The sequence below is a fragment of the Homo sapiens genome, chromosome 5 (assembly GCF_000001405.40).
Source record: "Homo sapiens chromosome 5, GRCh38.p14 Primary Assembly".
NCBI lineage: Eukaryota > Metazoa > Chordata > Mammalia > Primates > Hominidae > Homo > Homo sapiens.
In genome coordinates this window covers 176,200,552-176,218,546 of record NC_000005.10, presented here as the reverse complement: position 1 = coordinate 176,218,546, position 17,995 = coordinate 176,200,552, and positions in this window count along the sequence as shown.

Sequence of the window (17,995 nt, the reverse complement as noted above, 5' to 3'; positions counted from 1 at the left end):
CCTTATAAAAGCATTAATATCAAGAGGGTGAAGCTGCTTAACAGGCAGTTGGAGAATTACTGAGATCCTGTGGTAGAACTGAATGCAAAGAGTTCGCTTTAAGAAGATTTAGCCCAGCACGGTGGCTCATGCCTGTAATTCCAGCACTTTGGGAGGCTGACGCTGATGGAGCACTTGCAGCCAGGAGTTCGAGACCAGCCTGGCCAACATGGTGAAATCCCATCTCTACTAAAAATACAAAAATTAGCCGGGCTTGGTGGCACATGCCTGTAATCACAGCTACTCAGGAGGCTGAGGCAGGAGAATCGCTTGAACTCAGGAGGTGGAGGTTGCAGTGAGCTGAGATGGCGCCACTGCAGTCCAGCCTGGGTGACAGAGACTCTGTCTCAAAACAAGACAAAACAGATTTAAAAGAGGTGCTGGATTTATTTCCATCAACTTTAAGGGAGGTTAAAAAATTCTAGGTTGTTTGGTTTAACAAAACTTCTTTAACCTTTTTTTTTCTTAACTTTAAAAGAGTTTCCAGTGTTTACATTCTAGTTAGACCATAAATAATGAGTCTTATCTCAGCAGCAGCAGCTTAGTAACAGCAGTTCTAAAGCAGGAAGAAAAAAAAGGAAAATCGAGAGCTTTAGAAGACTGTTTAACTCTGTAGTGCAAGTTAAATATTTGAGCTCTGAATTTTTTTTTTTTTGTAATTTGCCCATTAGTTTAAAATGTGCACAAAAACAGCATAATATGTAAGCAGCTGGAGTTTTAAAGAGAACAATAAAATCGGGCTAGGATGTTACAAACTGTTTTTTCCCATTTAAGGTTAGACTCCTGGATTGAACAGAAAAAGAGAAAAAGAAAAGAAAGGAATAGAGGAAAAGGTTAAGCTTTACAGGATGGCTTTTGAGCCTGCAGCCACTGGACAGTGCAGGGCAGCATCCCTACCCCTCTCGCTCATTTCCTATCAGGGAGAGCCTTAGCACCCCAGACCTACACAGTATGGGATGAATTCCTCCTACCTCCACAAGCCACCAGTTAAAGTGAGCTGTCTCCAGCGGGAGCAGAGAGCCCCTTCAGCTTAAGGCCATCAGGGGTCAGGATTCTGTTCCAGGGGCCCTTCGGTCCTCAGTGCAGTCCCTTTTCCAGCGGCCGAGCTTATGGGTTGGGGTAAGCCATGTGGGTTTTTTTCCCATTTATCCCATTAGGGCAGTTTGCCTGTTAGTGGCCTAGCCTTTTGTACCAATGACAGTTATTTGGAGGAGTGTTCTTAGGGAAACCTGGAGGGGGCTGAGGGCTTGTAAAGCAGCCAAGAGCTGAGCCTGCCTTTTGTCCCTATGGTTTTCTTTCTTTTTAGCCCTGTCCTCCTTATTCTGCTTTTGGCTATGAAAGACTGAGGAGGCTAATTTGAGGATTTTCTGCACAGGGGCTATGCTGTATTACACAAGAAAATTAGACGTTTCTTCTTGAGAGTCTAAAGGTTAAATTTCTCCAGTGTTTTAGAATGCAGCCTAGAGGTGAGGCTAAAGGAATAGATGGGGTTTATCCCATGATGGGACTGGAAAACATGCTGCTTGGGGCTATTTGAACCGCGCATTCTCTCTGGATATCCTGCCAAGATGAAAAGGGCTCCACTTATGTCTGCTGAGGGACTCAGGGTACACTTTCTAAAGGGGCCTCCCACCGTTAGAAAAGACCTCTCGGCTGCTCAGGGGCTTTACAATCGGTGGCCAGTCCAGGTACTGACACTGGGTGATCAGCCCAGGTATGAGGAAAAAGGGTAAAGGAAGAACTCAGCCTGGTGCCAGTCAGAAGAGCGGGTGGATAAGGGAAGACTCATTGTTCTGAGGCTGTCTGGATCACCTGATTTAGCAAAGTCCTGAACAAGATGGATAATTCAGAGCGAGAAAGAGAGGGTACAAGTCACCCAAAATGCGTGTGAATTTGCTCTGAACGAGCTTCTGCTGTCAGTTGTGTCACACGTAGGGTTTAGGGACTTTTGACCAGAAAAGATAGGAGAGAGCTTTCCTTCCTGTTGGGCAGGGCACTCAGCCCTATTCACCCTTTGGCCTTCAGACAACACCAGAGAGTGGCCCTGGCCAGTTGCCATCAATTGTCGGATACTAGAAGCCAGCTGCTGGGAGACTGAAAAGTGAAAGTAAATTTAGGTCCTTCACCTGAACCTGGTGGTGGGTCAAACGCTTCCACATGGACACCTGTCAGTCCCACTGGAGTGTAGGTCTGGCCAGAGACCTTTAGTTGTCTCTGTGCTCAGATGTTGGCCACCAAGGATCACAAGTTGGGAAAGAGAATGGAGAGGATTCCCTGTAAGGAGAGAGAGTCCTTATATGGGCCACCAAAATGTCATGGGTGAGTGGTGACTATCTGGGGCTGGTGGCGTGATGGTTCAAAGAATTTACCAAGACAGTTGTAGGTTAAGAAAGGCTGATTTATTAGAGAAAGTAGGAAAATATGTTGCAAGGAAGCAATGGGCAAGTTAGCAAGTGTGGAGGTAACTGCAAGGAAACAAAGGCCTGCTGGGGATTTTATAGGATGGCGCTTGTGCTGTGTACTGAAGAGGGCTTTGTGTATACTGATAACACCAACGTTGCAGTGAACTAAATTGCATTTTTCTATCAGCTGAGGGTCTGGTGATAGCTGGGTGCAGGAAGATTGTGAGTTATTTGCTCAGGAGGGCTGTGTGTCCTGGACCATGAAGAAAGGAAAACTTATAGCTTATCTGCTTTTTCTTGTTGCTTTCCCTCAATCCCACCAGCCTGATTCCTTTTCCCTAATTAGGACTCCACATAATCCAGGGTCACAGGATTATTTTCTTCTAAACATGTTGTAATTTTAGGTTTTTAATTTTTTTGGAATGGAGTCTCACTTGGTTGCCCAGGCTGGAGTACAGTGGCATGAGCTCAGCTAACTGCAATCTCCGCCTCCCGGGTTCAAGCAATTCTTATGCCTCAGCCTCCCAAGTACCTGGGACTATAGGCGCACGCCACCATGCCTGGCTAATTTTTGTATTTTTAGTAGAGATGGGGTTTTACCACATTGGCCAGGCTGGTCTTGAAGTCCTGACCTTGTGATCTGCCCACCTCAGCCTCCCAAAGTGCTGGGATTACAGGCGTGAGCCACTGCACCCTGCCTGTAATTTTAGTTCTTATATGTAGATCTGTGACTCTTTTTAAGCTATTTTTTTATTTATTGATCATTCTTGGGTGTTTCTCGGAGAGGCGGATGTGGCAGGATCATAGGATAATAGTGGAGAGAAGGTCAGCAGATAAACACGTGAACAAAGGTCTCTGGTTTTCCTAGGCAGAGGTCCCTGTGGCCTTCCGCAGTGTTTGTGTCCCTGGGTCCTTGAGATTAGGGAGTGGTGATGACACTTAACGAGCATGCTGCCTTCAGGCATCTGTTTAACAAAGCACATCTTGCACCGCCCTTAATCCATTTAACCCTGAGTTGGCACAGCACATGTTTCAGAGAGCATGGGGTTCAGGGTAAGGTTATAGATTAACAGCATCCCAAGGCAGAAGAATTTTTCTTAGTACAGAACAAAATGGAGTCTCCTATGTCTACTTCTTTCTACACAGACACAGTAACAATCTGATCTCTTTCTTTTCCCCACATTTCCCCCTTTCTTTTAGACAAAACCACCATCATCATCATGGCCTGTTCTCGATGGTCGCTGTCTCTTCAGGGCTGTTGGGTACACCTCCCAGATGGGGCGGCCGGGCAGAGGCACTCCTCACTTCCCAGACGGGGTGGCCAGGCAGGGGCGCTCCTCACTTCCCAGATGGGGTGGCGGCTGGGCAGAGGCGCTCCTCACTTCCCAGACAGGGCGGCCGGGCAGAGGCGCTCCTCACTTCCCAGACGGGGTGGCCGGGCAGAGGCACTCCCCACTTCCCAGACGGGGTGGCGGCCGGGCAGAGGCGCTCCTCACTTCCCAGATGGGTGGCCGGGCAGAGGCGCTCCTCACTTCCCAGATGGGGCGGCTGGGCAGAGACGCTCCTCATTTCCCAGATGGGGCGGCCGGGCAGAGGTGCTCCTCACATCTCAGTTTTTGAGCTGTTTTTAATGACTAGTGTGAAGTACCTAAATTTATCTTTTTGCATGTGAATATTGTCCCACACCGTTTGTTGAAAATAATATTCTTTCCAGTTTGAATTTTTCTGGCAGCTTTGTTGAAAATCAGTTGGCCATAAATGTTGAGTTTATTTTTGAGCTCTCAATTCTGTTTAATTGATCTATATGTCAATCCCTATGCCAGTACACTCTCCTGATTTTTTTTTTTCTTTTTCTAGACAGTCTTGCTCTGTTGCCTAGGCTGGAGTACCGTGGTGTGATCATAGCTCACTACAGCCTTGAAGTCCTGGGCTCAAGTGATCCTCCCACCTTAACCTCCCAAGTAGCTGATACTATAAGCATGAGCCATCGTGCCCAGCCTGTCCTTATTTTTGTAGATTTATAATATGTTTTGAAATTAGGAACTGTAAGTCCTCCAACTTTGTTCTTTTTCAAAATTGTTTTGGCTATTCTAGGTTATTTGTATTTTCATATCAATTTTAGGATCAGCTTGTTAATTCCTGTGAAAAAGGCAGGTGGGATTTTGAAAGGATTGCATTGAAGCTATAGATCAATTTGGGGAGAATTGTCATCTTAACAAGATTGAGTTTTCCAATCTGTAAATATGGATGTCCCCTCATTTATTTAAATCTTCTTTAATTTCTCTCAGCACCAGTTTTAGTGTATAAAAGTTTTATTGTATCAAAGAAGTGCATTTTTTGTAAAATTTATCCCTAAGCATTTTATTGTATTGATACTATTATGAATGGAATTATTTTTTAAATTTCATTTTTGAATTGTTCATTGCTGGTATATAGAAAAATAATCGATTTTTGTGTATTGATCTTATGTTTTGTGACCTTGCTGGAATTACGTATATCCTACTGTTTATTTAGCTGGGTGGTTTTGCTGTCAGTGCTGGTGTTCCTAGTTCACTCAGAAGCCCCTTTGCTCTGATCCCGACAATTTCCAGTGCCATTTCTACTGTCAGTAATGAACCCACAATTGTCTGCAGACTGCACAGCCTCATCTGCAGCTGAGGCAGAGTCAGCCCTTTCTCCTTGTCCTGCTTTTCAGCAGGGTTGGAAATGCACAGTCTGGGATGCTTCTTACGGGGGATAGCCTGAGATGCTGGAGGAGTCAGTGGTTGTCATTGGGCAGCAACCACTCTGGCCCTCTTCTGTACTTCAGCAGTCCTAGGATCTGGGTCCCCTGGTACCTGGGGGTTCTTAGATCTTGTTCCAGATCCCTACTCCAGCTCTCTGAGGATTGGGGGACTCTGCCTGGCACTGTAAATTTATAGAATGTACCTTCTTTTGACAAGATCTGTTTCTCTGGGGGAAGATGAGGGCTGGACACTTTTCCTACCTTGTTCCTGACTATTTTCTGACAGATTTCCTTAGTGTTCTATTCTGCAGCCAGTTCCCCCTGCCCCCCTCTTAGGACCTGAGTCCTTACTGTCCCCCATCTAAGTTGATACCAGCCTGTGGTTGTTGCTTTTCTTTTCTGGGAGCTCCTGTGTTTTGGTCACTGGTAGCTGTGGCTGACACTTGAGCAGCTTTTTGTTTGGGAAGTTAGCAATTGTGTTCCTGAGGTAAGTAAGGCAGATGGGCAACTGTGGGCTCTCCCCAGGGCTGGGTATTAGCATTGCAAATATGGCTCTTTGGTTCTAGTTAGTAAGGTGATGCCCAGGAAGGGAAGGAATTGTGCCAACCAAGGAAAGGTTCTCATTTGTACTTTCCCATCCAGCAGGAGGTTTTCAAAACATAGCATCTGTCTTAAAAGGCTCTTGTGTGCTCTAATCATCATCATTACTTTTATAATCATGATGTGAATTTTTCAGTCACAAACTCAGGTGTGCAAACAGTATAATTTTCTTCATTCTTAATACCTCATTAATTTCTGACTCTGCATTCTTGTTCTGCATAATGGCAGACAATGCCTTCCCTGTCCAGCTGAACCCATTCCTTTTGGGTGGCTTCACTGACAAACTTGGACACGGTCACTTCTCCAGATTCAGTGATGGCCTTTACTGGAGCCTGCTTCAGACTTGCTTATTGCCCTCTAAAAGAGTTTTGAAAATCTATATACCTCCTTTGTTGACATTTAAAGCTTTTTTTTATCGTAAGTTTAAATAGTTAAATACTAAGTTATTACATATATTGATGTTTACAAAATAAACTGTCACTATTATCCCATACTTTCTTTTCTATTTATTTTTTTGAGACGGGGTCTTGCTCTGTCACCCAGGCTGGGGTGCAGTGGTGCGATCACGGCTTATTGCAGCCTTGACCTCCTGGGCTCAAGTGATCCTCCTGGCTCAGCATCCTGAGTAGCTGGGACCACAGCATGTGCCACCACGCCTGGCTAATTTTTGTATTTTTGGTAGAGATGGGCTTTCGCCCTGTTGCCCAGGCTGGTCTTGAACTCCTGAGCTCAAGTGATCTCCTGCCTCAGCTTCCCAAAGTGCTGGGATTACAGGTGTGAGCCACTGTGTGCTGCCACTTTTTAAAATTTAAACAATTTTTTTAGAGGCAGGGTCTCACTATATTCCCTAGGCTGGTCTCCGAACTCCTGGGCTCAAGTAATCCTCCTATGTCAGCATCCCAAGTAGCTGGGTCTACAGGCACATGCTTCTGCACCTGGCTTACTATCCCATATTTTAAAATGTATCCAAAGAAATCTAAGTACCATAGCAATTTAAGTTCATTAAAAGTACCTTATATCCAATACTACTACATTACTTAGAGCTAAATTGATAGTTGTAAATGCCTATATTGAAAAGAAGAAAGATCTCAAATCAATAACTTAACCTTCCACTTTAAGAAACTGGAAAAGAAGATCAAACTACACTCAAAGCAAGCAGAAGGGAGGAAATATTAATGTGCAAAGTGGAAATAAATGAAAGAGGTAGAAAACGGAAAAAAATAAAGGAAACCAGAAGCTGGTTCTTTGAAAATATCAACAAAATTTACTTTTAGCTTTTAGCTAGGCTAATCAAGCATAGAGGAGAAAAGGTCCAAAATTACTAAAATTAGGAATGAGAGTGTAGATGTTACTACTGACCTTACAAAATAAAAAGAATTATAAGGGAATACTATGGACAACTGTGTCAAATTAGGTAACTTAAATGAAATGAACAAGTTTCTAGAAACACACAAACTACTGAAATTGACTCAAGAAGTGGAAAATCTGAAAGATGTATAACAAGAAAAGATATTGAATTAGTAATAAAAAATCCTTCCCCCACAAAAAAGCCCAGGGCCAGATGGCTTAACTGGTGAATTCTACCAAACATGTAAAGAGGAATTAATATTTATTGTTCATAAACTCTTCCATAAGCATAGAAGAGGAGGAAATACTTCCCAACTCCTTCTATGAGGCTAGTATTACCCAGATACCAAAGCCAGAAAAAAAACACAAGAAGGAAAACTACCAACCAATATCTCCTATGAATTTAGATATAAAAATCCTTAACAAAAGCCTAGTGAACTGAATCTAGCAACATATAAAGGGATGATATATCATGACCATATGGGATTTATCCCAGGAATGCATGCAGTTTGTTCATCAGATGAAAATCAATATAATACACCCTATTAATAGAATAAAGGACAAAACCCACATAATCATCTCAGTAACTTCAGATAAAGCATTTGATAAAATTCAAAATAAAAACAATGAATAAACTAGGAATAGGAGGGAAACTTCCCAACCCATGAAAGGGTATCTCTGAAAATCCACAGATAATTTCATGCTTTAGGGTAAAATATTGAGAGTTTTCTCCCTAAAGTCAAGAACAATACAAAGATGTTCACTCTCATTATTTCTATTAATATTGTATTGGAATTTCTAACCAGACAGGCTAGAAAAAGTATTAAAAGGCATCCAGATAGGAAAGGTGGAAGTAAAACTATGTTTGCAGATGACATGATCCTGAATATAGAAAATCCTAAGGCATCTACAAAACTATGACAGCTAATGAAGGAGTTCAGCAAGGTTTCAGGATACAGGACCAAAATACAAAACTCAGTTGTGGCTGGGTGTAGTAGCTCATGCCTGTAATCCCAGCACTTTGGGATGCTGAGGTAGGTGGATCACCTGAGGTAGGAGGTCAAGACCAGCCTGGCCAACATGGTGAAATGCCGTCTCTACTAAAAATATAAACATTAGTTGGGCATGGTGGCAGGCGCCTGTAATCCCAGCTACTCAGGAGGCTGAGGCAGGAGAATCACTTGAACCCAGGAGGCAGAGGTTACAGTGAGCCAAGATCACACCATTGCACTCCAGCCTGGGGCACAGAGCAAGACTCTGTCTCAAAACAAAACACCTCAGTTGCAGGATACAAGACCAAGACACAAAAATCAGTTGTATTTCTATACCCTAGTAATGAACACTCAAAAATGAAATTAAGAAAACAATTCTGATATGATTTGGATCCATGTCCCCACCTGAATCTCAGGTCGAATTATAATCCCTGGTGTTGGAAGTGGAGCCTGATGGGAGATGAGTGGATCATAGCAGCATTTTCTCATGAATGGTTTAGCACAATCCCCTTGGTGGTGTTCTCGTGATAGTGAGTTCTCTTGAGATCTGTTTGTTTAAAAGTGTATAGTACTTCCCCTCTCTCTGTCACTCCTGCTCCCACCATGTGAGATGCCTTGCTCTGCCTTTACCTTTTGCCATGATTGGAAGCTTCTCGAGGCCTCCCCAGAAGCAGAAGCCACTGTGCTTCCTGTACAGCCTGTAAAATCATGAGTCAATTAAAACTCTTTTCTTTATAAATTACCCAGTCTATGCCAGGCATGGTGGCTCATGCCTGTAACCCCAGCACTTTGGGAGGCTGAGACAGGTGGATCACTTGAGGCTAGGAGTAAATGACCAGCCTGGGCAACATAGTGAAACTTCGTCTCTACTAACAATACAAAAAATCAGCCAGGTGTGGTGGTGCATGCCTATAATCCCAGCTACTTGGGTGGCTGAGGCACGAGAATTGCTTGAACCCAGGGGGTGGAGGTTGCAGTGAGCCAAGATCACGCCACTGCACTCCAGCCTGGGTGACAGAGTGAGACTGTCTCAAAAATAAATAAATTTTAAAAAATAAATAAAATTAAAATTACCTAGTCTGAGGTATTTCTTTATAGCAATACAAGAACAGACTAATACAGAAAATTGGTACCAAGGAGTGGGGCATTACTATAAAGATAGCTGAAAATGTGGAAGCAGCTTTGGAACTGGGTAACAGGCAGAGGTTGCAAGAATGTGGAGGGCTCAGAAAACCGACAGGAAGATGAGGGAAAGCTTGGAACTTAGAGACTGGTTGAATGGTTAGACCAAAATGCTAGTAGTGATGTGGACAGTGAAGGCCAGGCTGATGAGGTCTCAAATGCAAATGAGGAACTTGATGGGAACTGGAGCAAAGGTCACTTTTGTTATACCTTAGCAAAGAACCTGGGTGCATAGCTGCATTGTGCCCCTGCCGTAGGGATCTGTGGAACTTTGAACTTGAGAGTGATGATTTAGGCTATCTGGTGGAAGAAATTTCTAAGCAGCACAGCATTCAAGATGTGACCTAGTTGCTTCTAACAACCTACACTCATATGCATGAGCAAAGAAATGACCTAAAGTTGGAACTTATATTTAAAGGGGAAGCAGAGTGTAAAAGTTTGGAAATTTTGCAGCCTGGAAAGAAAAGGCCCTTTTCAGGGGATGAATTCAAGCAGGCTGCAGAAATTTGCATATGTAAAAAGGTGCCAAGTGCTAATAGCCAAGACAATGGGGGAAAAGCCTAGAAGACATTTCAGAGACCTTCACCACGGCCCCTCCCATCACAGACTCAGAGGCCTAGAAGGGAAGAATGGTTTTCTGGGCCAGACCTAGGGCTCCTGCTGTCCTGTGCAGCCTCAGGACACTGCTCCCTGCATCCCAGCCTAGCCATGGCTCAAACAGGCCCAGGTACAGCTTAGGCCACTGCTTCAGAGGGTGCAAGCCATAAGCCTTGGTGGCTTCCATGTGGTAATATGCCTGTGAGTTCACAGAGTGCAAGAGTTGAGGCTTTGGAGCCTCTGCCTATATTTCAGAGGATGTATAGCAAAGCCTGAATGTCTAAGCAGAAGCCTCACTGCCCTAGTAGAGGTCCTCCATGAAGGCTCTGCCCCATGCAGCAGCATGGAGAACCTCTACCAGGGCAGTGAGGAGGGGAAATGTGGGGTTGGATTTCCCATGCAGAGTCCCCATTGGAACACTTCCTAGTGGAGCTGTGAGAAGAGATCCACCATCTTCCAGACCCCAGAATGGTAGATCCACCAGCAGCTTGCACTCTGTGCCTGGAAAAGCTTCAGGTACTCAAAACCAGCCCTTGAGAGTGGTGTCGGGGGCTGAGCCTTGCAAAGCCACAGGGGCAGAGTTGCCCAAGGCCTTGGGAGTCCACCCCTTCCATCAGTTGCCCTGGATGTGGGACATGGAGTCAAAGGAGATTATTTTGGAGTTTTAGGATTTAATGACTGCCCTGCTGGGTTTCAGACTTGCATGGGGCCTGTAGCCCCTTTGTTTTGGTCAATTTCTCCCTTTTGGAATGGGAATATTTACCTAATTCCTATACCTCAATTGTATCTTGGAAGTAACTAACTTGTTTTTGATTTTACAGACCTATAGGTGGAAGGAACTAGCCTTGTCTCAGATGAGACTTTGGACTTTGGACTTTTGAGTTAATGCTGGAATGAGTTAAGACTTTAGGGGACTGTTGGGAAGGCATGAAATGTGGAAAGGACCTGACATTGGGGACTGTCAAATTGTAATCCTCAATGTTTGAGGTCGGGCATGGTGGGGGGTGATTGGACCCTGGAGGCGGTTTCTCTGTTTGAGGTCGGGCATGGTGGGAGGTGATTGGATCATGGAGGCGGTTTCTCTGTTTGAGGTCGGGCATGGTGGGAGGTGATTGGACCATGGAGGCGGTTTCTCTGTTTGAGGTCGGGCATGGTGGGGGGTGATTGGACCATGGAGGCGGTTTCTCTGTTTGAGGTTGGGCATGGTGGGGGGTGATTGGACCCTGGAGGCGGTTTCTCTGTTTGAGGTCGGGCATGGTGGGGGGTGATTGGACCCTGGAGGCGGTTTCTCTGTTTGAGGTCGGGCATGGTGGGGGATGATTGGACCATGGAGGCGGTTTCTCTGTTTGAGGTCGGGCATGGTGGGAGGTGATTGGACCATGGAGGCGGTTTCTCTGTTTGAGGTCGGGCATGGTGGGGGGTGATTGGACCCTGGAGGCGGTTTCTCTGTTTGAGGTCGGGCATGGAGGGAGGTGATTGGATCATGGAGGCGGTTTCTCTGTTTGAGGTCGGGCATGGTGGGAGGTGACTGGACCATGGAGGCGGTTTCTCTGTTTGAGGTCGGGCATGGTGGGAGGTGATTGGACCCTGGAGGCGGTTTCTCTGTTTGAGGTCGGGCATGGTGGGGGGTGATTGGACCATGGAGGCGGTTTCTCACGAATGGTTTAGCACCATTCCCGTGGTGCCATTCTCATGATAGTGAGGGAGATCTCATGAGATCTGGTTGTTTAAAAGTACATAGGCCCCAGCCAGGTGCAGCGGCTCATGCCTGTGAGCACTTTGGGAGGCTGAGGCAGGTGGATTTTCTGAGCTCAGGAGTTCGAGACCAGCCTGGGCAACACAGTGAAACCCCATCTCTACTAAAATACAAAAAATCAGCTGGACATGGTGGCGCTCACCTGTAGTCACAGCTACTTGGGAGGCTGAGGCACGAGAGTTGCTTGAACCCGGGAGGTGGAGGGTGCAGTGAGCCAAGATCACACCACCGCACTCCAGCCTGGGTGACAGAGTGAGACTCCATCTCAAAAAAAAAAAAAAAAAAAATGATATAGACTGGGTGCGGTGGCTCACATTTGTAATCCCAGCACTCTGGGAGGCCGAGGTGGGTGGATCACTTGAGGTCTGGAGTTCAAAACCAGCCTGGCCAACATGGTGAAACCCTGTCTCTACTAAAAATACAAAAATTAGCCGAGCATGGTGGCATGTGCTTATAATCTCATCTACTCGGGAGGCTGTGGTGGGAGAATCACTTGAACCTGGCAGGCAGAGGTTGCAGTGAGCCAAGATCATGCCACTATACTCCAGCCAGAGTGACAGAGTGAGACTCCGTCTCAAACAAACAAAAGTATATGGCACCCCCACCCCCACCCCCTCTTCCTTCTGCTTTCACCATGTGAGATACCTCACTTCTCCTTTGCCTTCTGCCATGATTGGAAGCTTCCTGAGGCCTTCCCAGAAGCAGAAGCTGCTGTGCTGCTTGTACAGACTGCAGAACCATGAGCCAATTAAACCTCTTGTCTTTATAAATTACTCAGTCTCAGGTATTTATTTATAGTAATGCAAGAATAGATTAACACATTCCATTTACAATAGCATCAAAAATAATAAAATGCTTAGGAATAAATTTAACAAAAGAAGTGTAAAACTTGTGCACTGAAAACTAGAAAACATTTTTCTTTTTCTTTTTTTTTTTTTTTTTTTGAGATGAAGTCTTGCTTGTCACCCAGGCTGGAGTGCAGTGACATAATCTCGGCTCACTGCAACCTCTGCTTCCTGGGTTCAAGCCATTCTCCTGCCTCAGCCTCCCCAGTAGGTGAGATTACAGGTGCACACCACCATGCCCAGCTAATTTTTGTATTTTTAGTGGAGACGGGGTTTCACCATGTTGGCCAGGCTGTTCTTGAACTCCTGACCTCGTGATCTGCCCGCCTCGGCCTCCCAAAGTGCTGGGATTATAGGCGTGAGCCACCGCGCCCAGCCTAGAAAACATTTTTCAAAGAAACTAAAGAAGACCTAAATAAAAAGAAAGACATTTTGCATGCATGGATTGAAAGACTTAACGTTAATATGTCAGTGTTTCCCAAATTAATCTGTAGATTCCACACAATCCCTGTCAAAAGACTTTTTTGTAGACAAGTGGACCCAGTAGAAATACAACGAACCCAATATAGGCAAAATAATCTTGAAAAAAAGAAAGAATATAGTTGGAAAAAATATTTGTTTTTTTTTTGTTGTTGTTGTTTTTGAGACAGAGTCTTGCTCTGTCGCCCAGGCTGGAGTGCAGTGGCGCAGTCTCGGCTCACTGCAACCTCCACCTCCCAGGTCCACGCCATTCTCCTGCCTCAGCCTCCTGAGTAGCTGGGACTACAGGCACCCGCCACCAAGCCCGGCTAATTTTTTTTTGTATTTTTAGTAGAGGCAGGGTTTCACTGTGTTAGCCAGGATGGTCTCGATCTCCTGACCTCGTGATCCACCTGCCTCGGCCTCCCAAAGTGCTGGGATTACAGGCGTAAGCCACTGCGCCCAGCCAAAAATACATTTATTAGAGTAACATGTAATTTTTAAAAGTAGTTTTAGACAAAACGTAGTTTTAGACAAATCAAGACAATTTTATTTATGGCACATGAAATTTCATAGTCTTGTGCATAACACTTTACAATGAGAACTTTTGTTAACCGGGACACACTATTTTCTATGTTAATTCTTCTGACACATAGATTTATGTTTCCCTCCTAGACTTTCTTGCAAAAATGCCTGTTCGGGATTCCTCAGAGTACAGACAAAAAGGAAGGCTTGATCAGCATGTGGTGGATCTGAAGATTCAAAGAATTGCCGCGGCTCAAAAGTAGACATTTTGGTAAATGTGAAGAGTGAGATTCAATGAAGATGATAAGAAATGAAAGGTGTTACCAAAAGTGAGTATGTGCAGCTATGCTTGTCACACAAAGTAGGCTTTAAGTCAAAAAAGCACAAAAATAGAAAATAAAGGTCATTATAAAATGATAAAGGGATCAATTCAGCAAGAAGGTAGGACAGTTGTCAATGTAAACACACCTGACACAGGAGCCCCAGTTATTAAAGTAAGAGTTATTCGAGCAACAGACAGAGACAGACAATAATAGCTGGGGACTCCAAAACCCACTTTCAGCAACAGACACACCCTCTAGGCAGAAAAGTAACAAAGACCAGACTGACTCCAAGAGAAGTCAAAGGGACCTCACAGGTAATTACAGAACATTTCACCCACCAACTGCAGAACTGCATTCTTCTCATCAGCTCACAAAACGTTCTCCAGGATAGACCACATTTTAGGCCACAAAACAAATCTCAAAAAAGCATTTAAAAAATGAAAATCATAGCAAGTATCTTCTCAGACCAAAATGGCATAAAATTAAAAGCCAATAACAAGAGGAACGTTGGAAACTCTCTAGGTACATGGTATATAAATAATGGTAATGGTCAGTGAAAAAATTAAAAAGGAAAGTAACAAAAACATTTCTTGAAAAAAAAAAAAAAGGAAACAAAACAGAAAAAAATATATATGGTAGGTGTTTTTAACGTAAAAAATGCAGAACAATAAAAAAGTTAAAAGATACAGTAAAACATTTTCTGAACTAAAAATTGATTTGAATATGTTTTCTTTCATTGGTAACAAAATGACTGGCAGGGAAAGGTGTTGTCCCTGATGAGATAACATTTTATTTTTTTTTTTTGAGACAGAGTCTTACTCTGCCACCCAAGCAATTCTCCTACCTCAGCCTCCCGAGTAGCTGGGATTACAGTCATGCGCCGCCACGCCCAGCTAATTTGCTGTATTTTTAGTAGAGATGGGGTTTCACCATGTTGGCCAGGCCGGTCTCAAACTCCTGACCTCAGGTGATCCACCCACCTCGGACTCCCAAAGTGCTGGGATTATAGGTCTGAGCCACCATCACACCCAGCCGATTAGATAGGCTTTTAAAGCCGCAGCGGAAGGAGGAGCAGTGTCTGTAACCGGTGGCCAAACAGTATTAAACTCCTGGGTTGTTTTGGGAGGAGTCACTACAACTACAGCCCAACTACATTTATTATGCCAGATAACACAGTGCTGGGGGGACATACTGGAGTTGACAAGATCCCCTGGGGGCACAAGTGGCAATGGCTGTGCACCAGTGGCTGGATATTTCTGAAAAATGAAATAAAACTAGTGGTCATCCAAGAAGATGTAGAATTAATGTATTGAAAAACATTGATGAACATGGTCCAGGTCAACAGGAAAGCTGCAGGAATAATGTACACGTTCAATGCCCATGCAGCCACTGACATCACTGGCTTCGGGGTTTGGGAACAGGTACAGAATGTGACCAGGCAGCAGACGTGCTCTCTTTTTAAAAGTGCTTTCACAGGCAGGCACAGTGGCTCATGCCTGTGATCCCAGCACTATGGGAGGCCGAGGCAGGCAGATCACCGGAGGTTCTGATTTCGAGACCAGCCTGACCAACATGGTGAAACTCTATCTCTACTAAAAATACAGAAAAGTAGCCAGGCGTGGTGGCACATGCCTATAATCCCAGCTACTCGGGAGGCTGAGGTAGGACAATCACTTGAACCCGGGAGGCGGAGGTTGCGGTGAGCAGAGATCGTGCCATTGCACTCCAGCCTGGGCAACAAGAGCAAAACTCAGTCTCAAATAATAAAATAAAAAGTACTTTCACATATGACAGACATTACCAATAGTAGTGTCAAATAGCAGTTGGTGTCTTTTCATTCTATGTGTGTTTATCATATAAGTCTGATCTTTTTTTAGTGTCTTGAATGGTTTTCTGGAAAGACAGTATTGGCAAGTGACACAGGATGGTATCCCAGTTGTAAGAGGGTTGCATGATTCTTTTATCTTTGATTTGAAAAGCCTGGTCTTGGACCGGGCTCGGTGGCTCAAGCCTATAATCCCAGCACTTTAGGAGCCCCAGGTGGGTGGATCACGAGGTCAAGAGATTGAGACCATCCTGGCCAACATGGTGAAACCCCGTCTCTACTAAAAATACAAAAAAATTAGCCGGGTATGGTGGCGGGCGCCTGTAGTCCCACTGACTTGGGAGGCTGGGGCAGGAGAATCACTTGAACCCGGGGGGCAGAGGTTGCAGTGAGCCGAGATTGCACCACTGCACCCCAGCCTGGTGAGAGAGTGAGACTCCATCTCAAAAAAAAAAGAAAAGAAAAGCCTAGTTTTGGCACTCGAGCATCTCACACCCAGGACATTTTCTAGTACTGCATTCTGTTCAATACAGTAAGTGCTTCACTGCATAAAAAACACTGTGAAGACCAAAAGAAATCTTATATTTTTGTAGCCTTCCTGATATTTACAGTAATACTATTAACTGTTTATTGACAGGAAAAATGAGATATTTGCAATGTGATGTAATTAGGGTTTTTTTTTTTTAGGCCAAGTTTTGCTCTTGTTGCCCAGGCCAGAGTGCAGTGGCAGAATCTCAGCTCACTGCAACCTCTGCCTCCCGGGTTCAAGCGATTCTCCTGCCTCAGCCTCCCTAAGGAGCTGGGACTACAGGCGCCCGCCACCATGCCTGGCTAATTTTTGTATTTTTAGTAGAGACAGGTTTTCGCCATGTTCGGCAGGCTGCTCTCCAACTCCTGACCTCAGATGATGTGCCTATGTTGGCCCCACAAACTGCTGGAATTATAGGCATCAGCCACCGCGCCCAGCTGAAATTAGATGTTTCTTATTGTATGTAAAAAGGAATTGCCTTCCAAAAGAAAGTTCATGTATTATGCTCATTTGCAATATGTAATAACTATGCAAATAATTTTTAAATATAGTCAGTAACAAAGATTGTTCTGTATATGGTAGTGTTTAATACCTTTTTTTTTTTTTTTTTTCCCTGAGATGGAGTCTTACCCGTTGCCCAGGCTGGAGTGCAATAGCATGATCATGGCTCACTGCCATCTCCTCCTCCCAGGTTCAAGCAATTTTTCTGCCTCAGCCTCCCAGGTAGCTGGGACTACAGGCGTGTGTCACCACACCCAGCTAATTTTTTATTTTTAGTAGAGACGGAGTTTCACCATGTTGGCCAGGCTGGTCTTGAACTCCTGACCTCAGGTGATCCTCCTATTTTGGCCTCCCAAAGTGCTGGAATTACAGGCACCCGCCCGGCCAATACATTTTAAAAAATGTTGTATATTGATTTCAGGCCTTTTATTTTCTTAAAAGCAGCAGCTATTTAGCCTAATTCTGAGCAGTGGTTTGTTCTCTGGGCCAGTAGGATTTTATGCATGCTTTTTGTGATCCGTGTTCAAAATCTGCATTGCCAACATTGCAGCTCCAGTGTAAGCTTGTTATTCAAATAAATATTTTATTTTTAAACTTGCTTCTGTACTGTATGGCTGGGTACAATGGCTCATGCCTGTAATCCCAGCATTTTGGGAGGCTGAGGCGGGTGGATCACCTGAGGTCAGGAGTTTGAGACCAGCCTGGCCAACATGGTGAAACTCCGTCTCTACTAAAAGTAGAGTATAAGTAGTGTATAAGCCCCGGGTCCTAGGCTCTGGGTATAAGCCCCACGTTTTTTCTGGGTATAAGACTTGTGTTTCCTAGGCTCTGGGTATAAGCTCCATGTCCTAGGCTCTGAGTACAAGCCCAGTGTCCTAGGCTCAGTGTATAAGACCCGGGTCCTAAACTCTGGATATAAGCCTTGTGTCCTCGGCTCTGGGTATAAGCCTTGTGATTTAGTCTTTGGGTATAAGCTCCATATCCCAGGCTCTGGGTATAAGCTTTGTTTCCTAGGCTCTGGGTATAAGCCCCACGTCCTTGGCTCTGTGTATAAGCCCCAAGTCCTTGGCTCTGTGTATAAGCCCCAAGTCCTAGGCTCTGGGTATAAGCCCCGGGTCCTAGGCTCTGGGTATAAGCTTTGTTTCCTAGGCTCTGGGTATAAGCCCCAAGTCCTAGGCTCTGGGTGTAAGCCCCGGGTCCTAGGCTGTGGGTGTAAGCCCCAAGTCCTAGGCTCTGGGTGTGAGCCCCGGGTCCTAGGCACTGGGTATAAGCCCCAGGTCGTAGGCTCACCCCAGGATCCCCCAGCACAGGTCCAGTGGCTTCCCATTATTAGAGGTGAATGTGATCC